This window comes from Homo sapiens, chromosome 10, assembly GCF_000001405.40.
Source record: "Homo sapiens chromosome 10, GRCh38.p14 Primary Assembly".
NCBI classification, from domain to species: domain Eukaryota; kingdom Metazoa; phylum Chordata; class Mammalia; order Primates; family Hominidae; genus Homo; species Homo sapiens.
The window spans coordinates 30,031,529-30,043,905 of record NC_000010.11 but is presented as its reverse complement, the minus strand read 5'-3'; the positions used below and the strand labels follow the sequence as shown (position 1 = coordinate 30,043,905).

At 46.6% G+C, this 12,377-nt stretch overlaps 1 protein-coding gene across 4 annotated transcripts in view, besides 1 other annotated feature; it reads left to right on the top strand.

The window, feature by feature from the left end:
* Positions 1-12,377, top strand: part of JCAD (junctional cadherin 5 associated) — a 102,692-nt gene that overhangs the window by 71,589 nt on the left and 18,726 nt on the right. The gene's annotated exons all lie outside the window — the stretch shown is intronic.
* Positions 8,717-9,313: an enhancer, noted in NCBI's record as "OCT4-NANOG hESC enhancer chr10:30323522-30324118 (GRCh37/hg19 assembly coordinates)". NCBI's record gives its function as "activates a minimal SCP1, AML or CMV promoter by ChIP-STARR-seq in primed H9 embryonic stem cells {active_cell/tissue: H9 hESC(primed)}" and the evidence as "EXISTENCE:reporter gene assay evidence [ECO:0000049][PMID:30033119]".

The window sequence follows — 12,377 nt, the reverse complement described above, 5'->3', positions numbered from 1 at the left end:
ACACAAAGCCCAGAGGATGTCACTGGCCATCAATGGCTGCTCAGTGCAGCAATGGAGGGAGCCCAGCTTGAGCCACAACTTCCCCACCCCCCGGGCTGCCAGATGCCTTGGGGCTGCCACCCTGCAGCAGCACTGGGCCTGGCTGAGCTCTCCCCAGGTGAGGCCTGTTTTCGTTTGAAAGGAGCACTTGATTCTGTGAGCTCCTGGGGTTACCATCGCTGGATGGTCTTTTCTCAGTCCCTTGTCCTCCACCCTCCCCCTGGCATGCATGGACGTGTGACAGCTCTCAGAGCCCAGCTGTGTCCCTTTCCTGTCTGGGAGAGGCCTATAAAGACTGCATCCTGACCTGTCTACACGAGATAATGCACATAACACTGCTCTTCTGTGGATGTTGTAAAGGGAGCATACATGGAAGGCAGGATTATCCATCATCTGGGGCTTAGCTGGAATATCAGCATTGTCTGGTGAGAATGGTCAGGACTGTTCCTTACCCTGTAATGATTAGTATCAGTTTAGAACAGAGTTTCTGATTTAAAGACCAGCTCTATCTAGTAAAATTTTTTTACTTTTTTTTTTCTTTTTCCCTTTCTTACTCGAGGGACTTCTAGTAAAACTTTAAAAAAAACAAAACACAAACATGAAGCTTTGATGAGATTTTTGAGCATACAGGACACTTGTTTCCTAATGTGCTGAGGGGGCTGTTGCTTTGAGCTTTCACTATTAGCAGATCAAGTAGTACTGAGCATCTAGGACAGGAGAAGAATGACAATTCTGTTGGGGAGAAAGACAAAGGAGCATGTGAACTTGCTAAAAATCTCTTAGGTGCAAGTAGTGGAGAAGGACCAAGAGTTGGTTCTCCTTCATACATAGTTTATCTAAATTGATGAGTAGACAGTAATTGTTTTTTGAAGCTACATGTTAACGTGTTGGGCCATCATTCGTATGACTGGTAACTTTACCAGCGTTTAAAGCACAGCAGATGGACTGTGAAGCCTGACTGTGGGACCCCTGGCTCAGGGGCCCTCCTTGCCCCCAGGCTGAAGACTTCCTAGCAGTAAAGTTTCCCTCCTTCATAGATCCTTTGGGAGGCAGGAAGTGGAACCTACCTGAAAGGAAAGGGAGGGGTCGTTGTAAGGATTCATGGAGAGATTCACGGACCATTCATAGGAAATGGAGAAAAACTGGCTGGCCTCATTAGAAATGGAATGAGAAGGTGTCCCCCTGGATTGTGGGTTATTCCCCTGGGGACTCATTCATCTCTGTCCCCCATTGCCACCCATCTCTGCCTCCCATTGCCACCCATCTGTGCGTCTCCGGGTACTTGTTTTGCTCCTCTTCCCTTCCCTGACAGCTTCTGCTTCCCCGTACCTCTGGCTGGCAGAGACTTAGACTCCGCCCTTGCTCCCCTTGATGGCTTAGCTTCAGAACCCACTGCTGTCAACTGCCCGCATCTCTTAGTTGAAACTTTTGAAAAAATTGAGTTTCAGACAGCCGGTGGATGCTTGAGTACTGGGTTAGGGTGTCTCCCCGCTCCGATCAGAGGGGAGGGGCTGGACAAGGGAGAGGTAGGTTGGATGGGGAGGAGGGAATGACCAGGCATGGGTGCCTGAGCTTTCCCCACTGCAGGTGCTGCGGGTGAGGACAGTTTCCAGGCCACAGGGACTCCCTGTGTACCCCAAAACATGTTCTCTTCACAGACAATTTGACAAATAACACTAAAGACTTGGCATTTTCCCCTTTTTAAGTCGTTGACTCCATAGAGAGCTCATCTAGATGCTAGCCCGCTCCTAAATGGTCTCAGTTAACAGACTGTAGTGATGAAACTGGCTGTGGGCTTTGCATGAAAGGCACTGACGTGGTCCAGGAAAAGACTCACAGGCCATGTCCAAAGCTTGCCTGCTGAAACACACACACACACAAACACACACACACAGTAAGAGGAAGTAGGCAAAGAGGAAAAACTGTGTTATCTGCACATGGAGGAAACTGCATGCTTAAAATACAAGTAGCCAAAACTAAATAATACTTAACGACCATTAAAATATGTAAAAGGCTGTTATCAGGCACTCAGGGTTTCCTTAATGTGTTTCCTTTGAAATATTATAATCAGAGGAAGCTGTAAAATACACTTAACATAGCAGAGGTTTGAAGCTGAAAGTTATACCATAATTGGCTCTTCTCTGCATAGCCCCAGGAATTCTGGTAAGATTTTTTTGTTAGTTACCCATGAGAATAACTTGTAATTATCTCCTGTCATCAGCGGCAGTTGTAACTAATGAGAGACTTAGCAACCTAGGGAGAGTCTCTGATGTGGTGGTCTGGGGCCCTCATCTTGGGAGGTTTCTATTTGATCAGTAAACATCCATTCTAGATAGTGCTACTGGATATGGTAAACAGTTCATTTTCAGGGTCTTTTAAAGCTTCTCTTAAATCATATCCTGCTTATAAGGGTTTTCCAAAAACAGAGAATGCTTCAAGTTTAACATCTGTTTCTATGTTCCTCTTTCTTTTACAAACTTATGAATCCTCAAACACGATTTGCCTTTTCACTGCTTGTTTCCATACTAAGCATTAGCTGTTGGTATTTTGACCTTGTTACGAGGCAAAGCCTCTCTTTCTTGAGGGCTGGCATGCTCATGAACACCAGGAAGACACAGGCCGCCTCTTCCCTCACTGTCTTCTGTATGCCCTTCTCCTTGGTCTCGTTCGTAAGTGTGGAAACTTCCAGAAGCGCCTGGAAGCTGGTCCTGTCTCCTGCATGTGCCCCATGTAGCTTTTACCAGCACCAGTTTCCCCACTAAAAAGCAGGTTGTGTCCTTTGAACATGAGGCTTCTGGAGGTGCAGTGGTGTGGAGGTGCAGGCTTCTGGAGTGACAAGGAAGATCCAGCGGCAGCACTGCCGAGGGCCTCATGCATCTTGCTGGTTATGCCATCCCCAAGAGGAGAGTTGTTCGTGTGGAATTCTGCCTTCAGCTAGAGAACTGGATGAGTCTGAGAGCTAAGAAATGCCCCACAGAGAGACACCAAGGGTAGGAATGTGAGACGGGGGTCCAAAAGAGACCCGAGTGGGTCTTCTGGTCCAGCCGCTTTGCCTCAAAGATGGCTGTGCCTCTGCGTTCTCGACAAAGGACAGGTTGTGGACTGGGGGTGTCACTGGTGGGCCGCTGTGCAGCTATGGGGCCTGGGGCCTTTAGGCGGCCTCCCTAGGGTGTCATCACCAGAGACCCAGCTGCAGGGTCCTTCAGGCTCTCAGAAACCCATGACTAGTGACCACCTTTTCTGCTCCTCACAGCCCTCATCTTGGCTTCTGAAGAACCGTGGGTCGGAGGCACCGCGAATACTCCATAAATATTTGTTGAATAAATGAATAAGTAAATGAAAGCAAGAGTGGTGCTAGAAAAAGGCAAATGAGAACGAGGCTGGTCTTTCTCCATGTCTATCATGGCACTCTGTGGTTCACACTGGTGAAAGCAGTTTAACATGGTAAAAATCTGACATGCCCTTATTAAAGAGAAAATATGAAAATACTGAAATAATCTGCCTTACCTATTAGATACGCATGAGAGAGAATGGATTAGAGCTTCTCTTCCTGCCTTGTTTTAATAAATGAAATACTGGTTTGTTCTGCATCCGTATTGTGGAAATGGGTGTAGCTTCTTCATCAGAGACCAGCCATCCCCAGGAGGAGCAGCGTCTTGTGATGACAGTCAGCTACGTCACTCTTTCCTGGCATTGTGAAGGCCTGTTGATTACAGCTTAGACAAAGACAATGCCGATCTGAAATAATCATCACCTTCAGACAGACACTCGGTTCTTCACCCTTTCCTGTGTGCCACCCGCACCCCCTTCCCCAGGCGATCAAGCAAACAGAGCTTCAAGATAACCTACTCCATTGAGAATGTATTTTAATTGAGTTAATACCAAATGAAACAAGGGCTTCTTATGTGTCAGGCACTGTGCTAAACACTCTGAATGTATCATCTCATTTCATTCCTCCCAGGATACAAAAAGGAAGGCGTAGTCCGTCCCTGCAGTACAGATGAGGCATCAGAGGCAGGGGCAGTTAAGGACGCTGCCGACAGCGTTCCACTGGACAGCCGTGGTGTTGGCCTTTAAACCCACGCCGCCCCTCCAGTGCCCAGGGCAGCTGCTCACCACTCTCCTGGCAACGTTCCAACACTGCTCCCTGTTGGTGTGATGAGAAGCCAGAAACCACCCCTCTGCACGTGCCCCGAGCCTGGACTGTTCCGTTGACCCTGGGCAGCCGTCTTTGGGTGTCAACTGCAGGTTCATCCGGCTCCCCAAGGACTGGCCACAGACATTGTTTTCTCAGCCTATTTTTCTCCATCTATACCTTTTCTTCCTCAAGTTAGGGAATCCACAAGAAAGTGATGAATAACACTTTGAAGGTATTATCTCATTTCATCCCTCCCAGAAAACTCAAAAGGAAGGATTCTGTCCCTGCAGTACAGATGAGGCATCAGAAGCCGAGGCCGGTCCAGCTGCCCACCCATCAGGTGGGAAGGGCCTCACGTTGTGGGAGGGAACAGTGTCTGCCCTGCGTGCAGTCACCAGGACTTCTCCTAGTCACTCGGGTGGGGAACCATTTCTCTAGTGCTTCCTGTCCCTGCCTGTGACAACACCCTCAGGGGTGGCTTCCTGTAGGACCTGGGATGCTCCCAGGATGATCATTGATGTGGAGGGACAGGGTCCTCTATCAGTGGGATCCTAGCATGGGAGGGGCGTCAGCATCTGGCCCTCTAGGGAGTCTGCCTCCAAGTAAGGGCCACCCAGTGTGGCTTCTTGCCTTTACATTCATTAGAAGGCATCAGTGCGTCCTTGCCATGTTAATCAGTAAAAGGAGTGGGCTCATTTAAATAGCTGGCGTGAGTCGGGGGTTAGGGGTTTATGACCCAGCTTTCTTCCCTTAGAAGTGCAGTTGCAGGAAGGATGTTGTTCAGAGATACCCTGACTCCCAGTGAGAGGTTCTAGCACCTTCATCGGGGACACATTAGTACACGCAGCTGGCGGCTGCCCCAGGAGCCCTCACAAGCTCCACCTACCTTTTCTCCAGGTTATTGTTTTCCTTCTCCTTCCACATGGACCTATACCCTTCTTCCTTCATTTGTATCCCTTTGCTCCATCCTGCTTCTCTCTTCTCTCTTCTCTCTTTCTCTTTCTCTTTTCTTTTCTTTCTTTCTTTTTTTTTTTTTTTTTATTTTGAGACAGGGTCTCTCTCTGTCACCCAGGCGAGTGCAGTGGCACCATCTCAGCTCACTGCAGCCTTGACCTCCCAGGCTCAAGCAATCCTCCCGCTCATCTCGAGTAGCTAGGACCACAGGCACTCACCACCACATCTAGCTAATTTTTCTTTTTAAATTTTTTGTGGAGACTAGGTCTCCTTATGTTTCCCAGGCTGGTCTCTAACTCCTGGGCTCAAGCGATCCTCCTACCTCAGCGTCTCAAAGTGCTGGGATTACAGGCATGAACCTCCGTGCCGGCTCTCTCTTTGTCTTCGCTACCTGTAGGTTGGTCAGTGGTCCACATCAATGAGGCGCCCCCTTGCATGAGTAGTCTCCCAGCCCCTGATTTTGTTACGTGCATTAAACACTACTAGAATTACCATGACAGTTTCCAAGCTGGCGCCATCCTTCACATCAGCACCAGTTGTGAATTTACTAATTTATGAAAAGGAAGCAACAACCCCAAAACCCAGTCCCAGGGGTGGGGCCGGTGGACCGTGGCCTCCGACTTAACTTGTGTGTATAAAAGTTCTTTACTAGACCTTGCAAAATCAAAAGTCTACTGAAGCCCTAACCCAAAGATGATTCAGAAACCTGCTGGCAACCACAAAAGAGCAATTTGTGTCCATTTCTAGCCGTCAGAGTTTAAAAAATATTATGGTCTTGTGGCTGGCCAGGTTGGCACTGTAGTGGCAATGGCTTCCAACTTTTTTTTTTTTTTTTTTTTTAATTTTTCCATTCTGAGTTCATCTTTGTGGAAGCCAGACCCAAGCGCAGGAGTTCAAAGCCCATGCTGTGGAGGAACTGCGACTTCAGGGGCTTCCATCCAGGTCGATATCAGTGGGTGCCTTTCCAACATGCCTCCTACTTAATTTCCTCTGTGCACGTTGATAACTCAAGTGCCTTTGAATTGCTTTCCTGTGCCCCTTCTTCAAATGTCCAAATTTAGCATCACTTCTGAGTCCTCAAATTTATTATGCTTCCTCTTCCAGACCCATTATTTGTGTATTTTTTTTTAATAACAAAACTGTAACCTCCAGAAATAGTCCGCCAGGTACTTTATGTTTTAACTGAATCTGCACTGCCTGTCATCTAGAGTCATTCATTGTGACATCATAAAAAGCAGGCCTGACAATGCATTAGCAGTCTGACTGGGCATTTGTGGATTTTCTAGTTACCATTCTGCCAGCGCAACCTACAATTCTTGTTCAAATTGAACTTTGCTGAAGAGTAATATTCATCCATTATGTTTTCAGAGCAGTTTTCTCTTTTCTGACTGACCTTTAATTTTATGCTAACCTCTATACTTCAGTCTTCATCTTCTCCGGACCCCAGATTTCCCCTTTCCAAAATTAGCCCATTCGTTACCCTGTATCAGAGGGATATTTGCACGGGGTGGTATACTGAATAGACCAAATCATGCTGAAAAAAGAAATTGCAGGCTTCCAGGCCCAGAGAGCTTTCAGAGCAAATTCTGGAGCGGAACATGGCTGAGGCCATCACAGAAGCATGTTAGGCACCTGACAGCGGGGTTGGTGAATGTGAGTCGCTCTAAAGAGATGCCCAAAGCCCCTTCTGCCAACCAGAGGAGAACGCTGCTCCTGGCTCTTTCAGTGAGACCTACAGCCTTGGCGGTCAGTTTCTGTATCTGGATACCAATGCCTAGATACAGACGCCTCCGGAAGGGGAGGGGCTTTTGAAGGAACAGGCTAGGCCAGTGTGTCATGACCATCCACTGGTCTAGAACATGACACTAGGGTTGGAAAGCAATGGAAAGCAGCAGGCATCTGCTAGACTGCAGATCTGGGAACCAGGAAGGGATCGCTGGATAAAGGCATGGCTTTAATGGGGCCTCCCCAGCCCCACCCCAATGACCACAGCGAAGCATGGCTGACTGGACTTTGAGGGCCCCCACGGGAGGACCAGGCTCAGGATTTTGTTCATGGAGGAGGGAAGGGTAACTGTTTGTCTCACTTCCCACAGAACCCCCAGTTCATTAGGCAGGCAGCAAGCCTCTGGCTGATTTCTTAAGTTAATCCACACATCTATCCCGTGCTCCTGGGTATCAGGCCCAGTGCCAGGCTGCAGCTGCCTGGGTGATAACAAGTCAGTGTGGCTCATGAGGACCTTGGAGGCCACTGAGAAGATGGGGAATGTGAGCCAGTGGTTACAGGCATTCCAAATGTTGCATTTTTTTTGTTTTTTTTTTTTTGAGACGGAGTCCTGCTCTGTACTGCCCAGGCTGGAGTGCAGTGGTGCAATCTCAGCTCACTGCAACCTCCACCTCCTGGGTTCAAGCCATTCTCCTGCCTCGGTTTCCCAAGTAGCTGGGATTACAGGCACCCACTACCACGCCTGGCTAATTTTTTGTATTTTTAGTACAGACGGGGTTTCATTCACCGTGTTGGTCAGGCTGGTCTTGAACTACTGACTTCAGGTGATCCGTCCGCCTCAGCCTCCCAAAGTGCTGGGATTATAGGCGTGAGCCACTGTGCCCAGCCCAAATGTTGCTATTCTAAGGAGAATCACTTTTTAAAAGAAGGGTATCATTTTCCATTGTGGTTGAGAAGGAGTCATGTGAATGAACAGAACTGTCTCCTAATTTTTCTCATAATTAGCTGCTGCATATGCAGTGAATAGACTTGCTCATTTTCTGTTAAACATATTGTTTTTCACATGCTCATATTTCAGATGTTTCCCAAGCAGTTGCTAGTAGTTGTTTCGCTGGCCTCATCTCTCCTGAGATGAGAGATGGGGCTGTTGGCAAGTGTAACTTCTGTTTCATCTCCGTCCCGTTCACCCGGGAATTCTGTGTAAAGACCCTGCTTGTCCCATTGAACTCATGGACACAATTTGTCTGGGCGATCACATTCCACTTTGCTTTCCTTATCTTTTTCCCACCCTGTGTTAATGTGTTCAGCATGTTTTCCTAGAAGTGCCATTGTTAATGTCTTTTAAAATGTAAGATAATTAGTTTCATTTTTCTAAAAAGAAAAATTTGATCTCATTTCCTTAAACATATCAGAAAATATATTTTTGGCTTTGAAACCCTATGCAGCAGTACACATTTTAGCTGGTAATGGGCGTCCTATAGCGAAGCTACTAGAAGAGCCATTCTTGCTAACTTGTCTGAAGGAGAAATCTACCAGAGCGACCCCCATGGGGAGTCCGCTTGCACCTGTCAGAGCCCAGCCCTTGCTAGGTACAAAATAGATGTTTATTAATTAAATGGTTTATAGTTTTCTATGTCATGTGGACTGCGTTGCAAAGTAGATAATTTAAAATTTCCCGGATGACCTGTATTTTTATTAAATTGGAATTTTGGCACCTTGTGCAAACAGAAGGAAGTTTAACCCAAAATTCTTAGTTATTTTGGTTTGTTATATATGGCAGTTTTGACAAAGTTAAAGTGATAGTGTAACATTTTTGGGTGGAGAAGAAAACCAACCACGCTCCCTCTGTAGGAAGTGACAGGCTGTTTGTATTCTTGTCCTATTTCTGTCATTTTTTATCTGTCTTCTGATTATGCTCGTGGCGTGTACTTGCACAAGTAGCACCTTAGGATTTTAGCCCCTTCTCTAAGCACACTGTGAAACCCGAATATCAATTGAGAAAAACGCGTCAAAGCCACACGGTACGGTTTCCTCCCTAAAGTCATGCAATCCAGGAAAGCGTTCACAGGACTGTCAGGAATGAGAACGGTGCTTCATAAAAGCCTACTCACCATCAGCCTAAGAGCAGAGGTAAGAGGGTAGATTGTTTCTGATGCAAAGCACCAACCGCATACTTCCTAATGATTTCTTTTAGCCTTTCACAGTGGGGTGTAACAATTGTAATGCCTTATTACATGGTAGTTTTTAAGTCTTGCCCTTGGATTTTCTATAGAGTCTGGGAGCCTATAGACAGTAGGTGCTGAAGACTTTTCAGTGGTTCATGTTCTACAGCATTTCTCAGGCTACTGATGGGCGGTCACACAGGAGTCCCCAGGGGAGGACTCTGTGGCTTCTGGAGCTGCAAGCCTGGCTCAGCTAAAGTGGGGAGGGAGGGAGGAAAGGGGCTATGCAGAGGGGCCAGTGACGATGGCTTTCAAAATGACTAATCTGTGTCGAACCTGACCAGGAAGCAGTCTTCTCAGCATTCAAAACCCAAATGCTCAAAACATAATTTCAATGACAACAAAAGCAACACAGAAATTGTGACCTCCTACCGTGCCCGGTGTTAAGACAGTACAGGTCTTATACCATGTACAGGTCGTTAACACAGAAGCATTGAGGCTGCTCAGTGGCAAATGTCTTACCTCAGATTGATTTTGGATATTTTCTGGTTTTCCAGCCCATAACTAAGCTTTGCTGTAAATGACTGCCTAACAAGTTAACAGGGGGTAGAAGTAGATACAGAATTATTGTTATTATCATTATTATTATTATTATTATTATTATTGAGATGGAGTCTTGCTCTGTCGCCCAGGCTGGAGTGCAGTGGCATGGTCTCAGCTCACTGCAACCTCCTCCTCCCGGGTTCAAGCGATTCTCCCACCTCAGCCTCCCGGGTAGCTAGGATTACAGATGCCCGCCACCACACCCGGCCGATTTTTATATTTTTAGTAGAGACAGGGTTTCACTGTGTTGGCCAGGCTGGTCTCATACTTCTGACCTCAGGTGATCCACCCACCTCAGCCTCCAAAGCGCTAGGATAACAGGCATGAGCCACTGCACCCGGCCTTGGATACAGAGTTTGAGGGGCTATCCTTACCTTTTAAGGCAAAGAGGTAATTCCAAAATAAGAATAGTAGCAATAAAAATAGAAGTTTTTACCAGGGCTCCTGCCCACAGCCTTCTGCCTCTGTGATTGGAAGGGCTCTCCTGCAGCCCAGGCCCCAGCAGGGACTCTTCCAGGCTTCACGCACTGTTGCTGCATAGAACTGGTGGCCTTGCACCTCCCAGTTTCATGTTGTGTTCACTCTGCTGTGCCACCAGCTGAAAAGCAGACTGTGTTGCTGGAATCATTCGAAACCACAAAATGTATAATAACACCTAAGCACATGGGGAAAAAGAAATCGACCTCACTAGTAATCAAAGAAATGCAAATTAAAGTAGTGAGAAGTTATGGGGAAAAATAGTTGTAATAACTAGGGATGAAAAGGTTCAGCAAGACCGGCTCTCCTCTGCACGACAGGAGGGACTATAAATTGGATAGTTTATCTAAGGTCAGTTTGACAACATGCATCACACAACACCCCATGATCTACTCACTTCTTTTCTAAGGACTTACTCTAAATGATCTGAGACCTACATCACGTGTTTGTGAACAATAGTGTTTTTCAAAGTGTTTTAGAATAGAATCCACATCAATGTCCAACACTGGTAAAGGGTTAAGTAAATCCTGTGTGTGTGAGGGAATACAATTCATCCATGAACATTAAGCACCTGAGGGCGTTTTCATTACACTGGAAGAAGTAAAATGCAGGGTTAATTGAGCGTTTTAGGTTCACATTTCTTGGCTTAGAGCTCTTTCACAAATCCTTGCAGGCTGTGTAACTTGGGGAAATCATTTAACCTACCTGTGCCTCAGTTTTCTTATCTGTAAAAGCGGGAAGTAGTGGTAATTATAACGTTGAAATGAAATAATTCACTTGGCATGCTTAGCACCATGCATGGTACAGCATGGGTGCCCAGTAGATGTTAGTATTAAGCAAGTTACTTAACACCTGTGCCTCAGTTTCCTCCTCTGTAGAGTGGTATTGACAGTAGCTTCTACCTCAGAAGGATGTTGGTGAAGCTTAAATGAGTTAGTTTGCAGAAAGCACATGGCTTGGACCTAGCACACAGCAACCACCGTGTAAGCAGCTGCTGCTGTTTGTGCTACAAGTGTCAGGAAATGTTCACATAATACCAGATATCTAGTAGAATACCCAGGCTGTTCAAAAATTCACATCCTCACACACACACACAGGTGAGAAGATATGTATCAAAGTAACCATCTCTGAGTAGAAAGAGTATAAGCAATTTTTGTTTTTTGTACTTTTTTATATTCTTCCAACATTCATTTTCAACAATGAATCCATTACTGTAATAATTTAAAAAGCAAACAGCTATCCTAGACTTGAAACATTTTTCAAGTCAGCCCGGCCCATGGTTAATCAAAACTGTTGAGTCCCCTGAACTTCCTTCCAGTTAATGGTTTTTCCCTATTACATGGCCCTAGTCTCTGATCATTCATGGGTAGTAGCTTAATATTTCTGCACATTATGTTCTTCAGATACTTTCCTTTGGTTGCATTAGAACTGTGATTCTGAACTCTCCCCGCATGCTAGAGTCATTTGGGAGATTTTGAAATATACTGGCTCCTCATTAGACCAATTAAATCCAAATATTTGGAGATGGGCCCTGAGCTTTGGTATTTTTTAAAGGCTCACAAGGAAATCCTAATGTGTGGCCCAGTAGTGAACAACACCCTGCATTTGATACTACCATTTCCTGCCTTGCAGAGAGTTTCACCCCATGAACAGGGCTCCCCTCTTCCTCTAGACAATCTCAATGTAAGCCCTAGCAGTGTTTCCCAAAATTGAGGATAAGAATCCTCTGAAATGCTTGTTAAAAATACAGATGGAGCCGGGCGCGGTGGCTCACGCCTGTAATCCCAGCACTTTGGGAGGCCGAGGCGGGCGGATCACGAGGTCAGGAGATCGAGACCATCCCGGCTAAAACAGTGAAACCCCGTCTCTACTAAAAATACAAAAAATTAGCCGGGCGTAGTGGCGGGCGCCTGTAGTCCCAGCTACTTGGGAGGCTGAGGCAGGAGAATGGCGTGAACACGGGAGGCGGAGCTTGCAGTGAGCCGAGATCCCACCACTGCACTCCAGCCTGGGCGACAGAGCAAGACTCCGTCTCAAAAAAAAAAAAAAAAAAAAAATACAGATGGGGCTGGGCGCAGTGGCTCACTCCTCTAATCCCAGCACTTTGGGAGGCCGAGGTGGGCGGAAGACTTGAGGTCAGGAGTTGGAGACCAGCCTGGCCAGCATAGTGAAACCTCGTCTCTACTAAAAATACAAAAATTAGCCGGGTGTGGTGGCAGGTGCCTGTAATCCCAGCTACTCGGGAGGCTGAGGCACAAGAATTGCTTGCACCCAGGAGG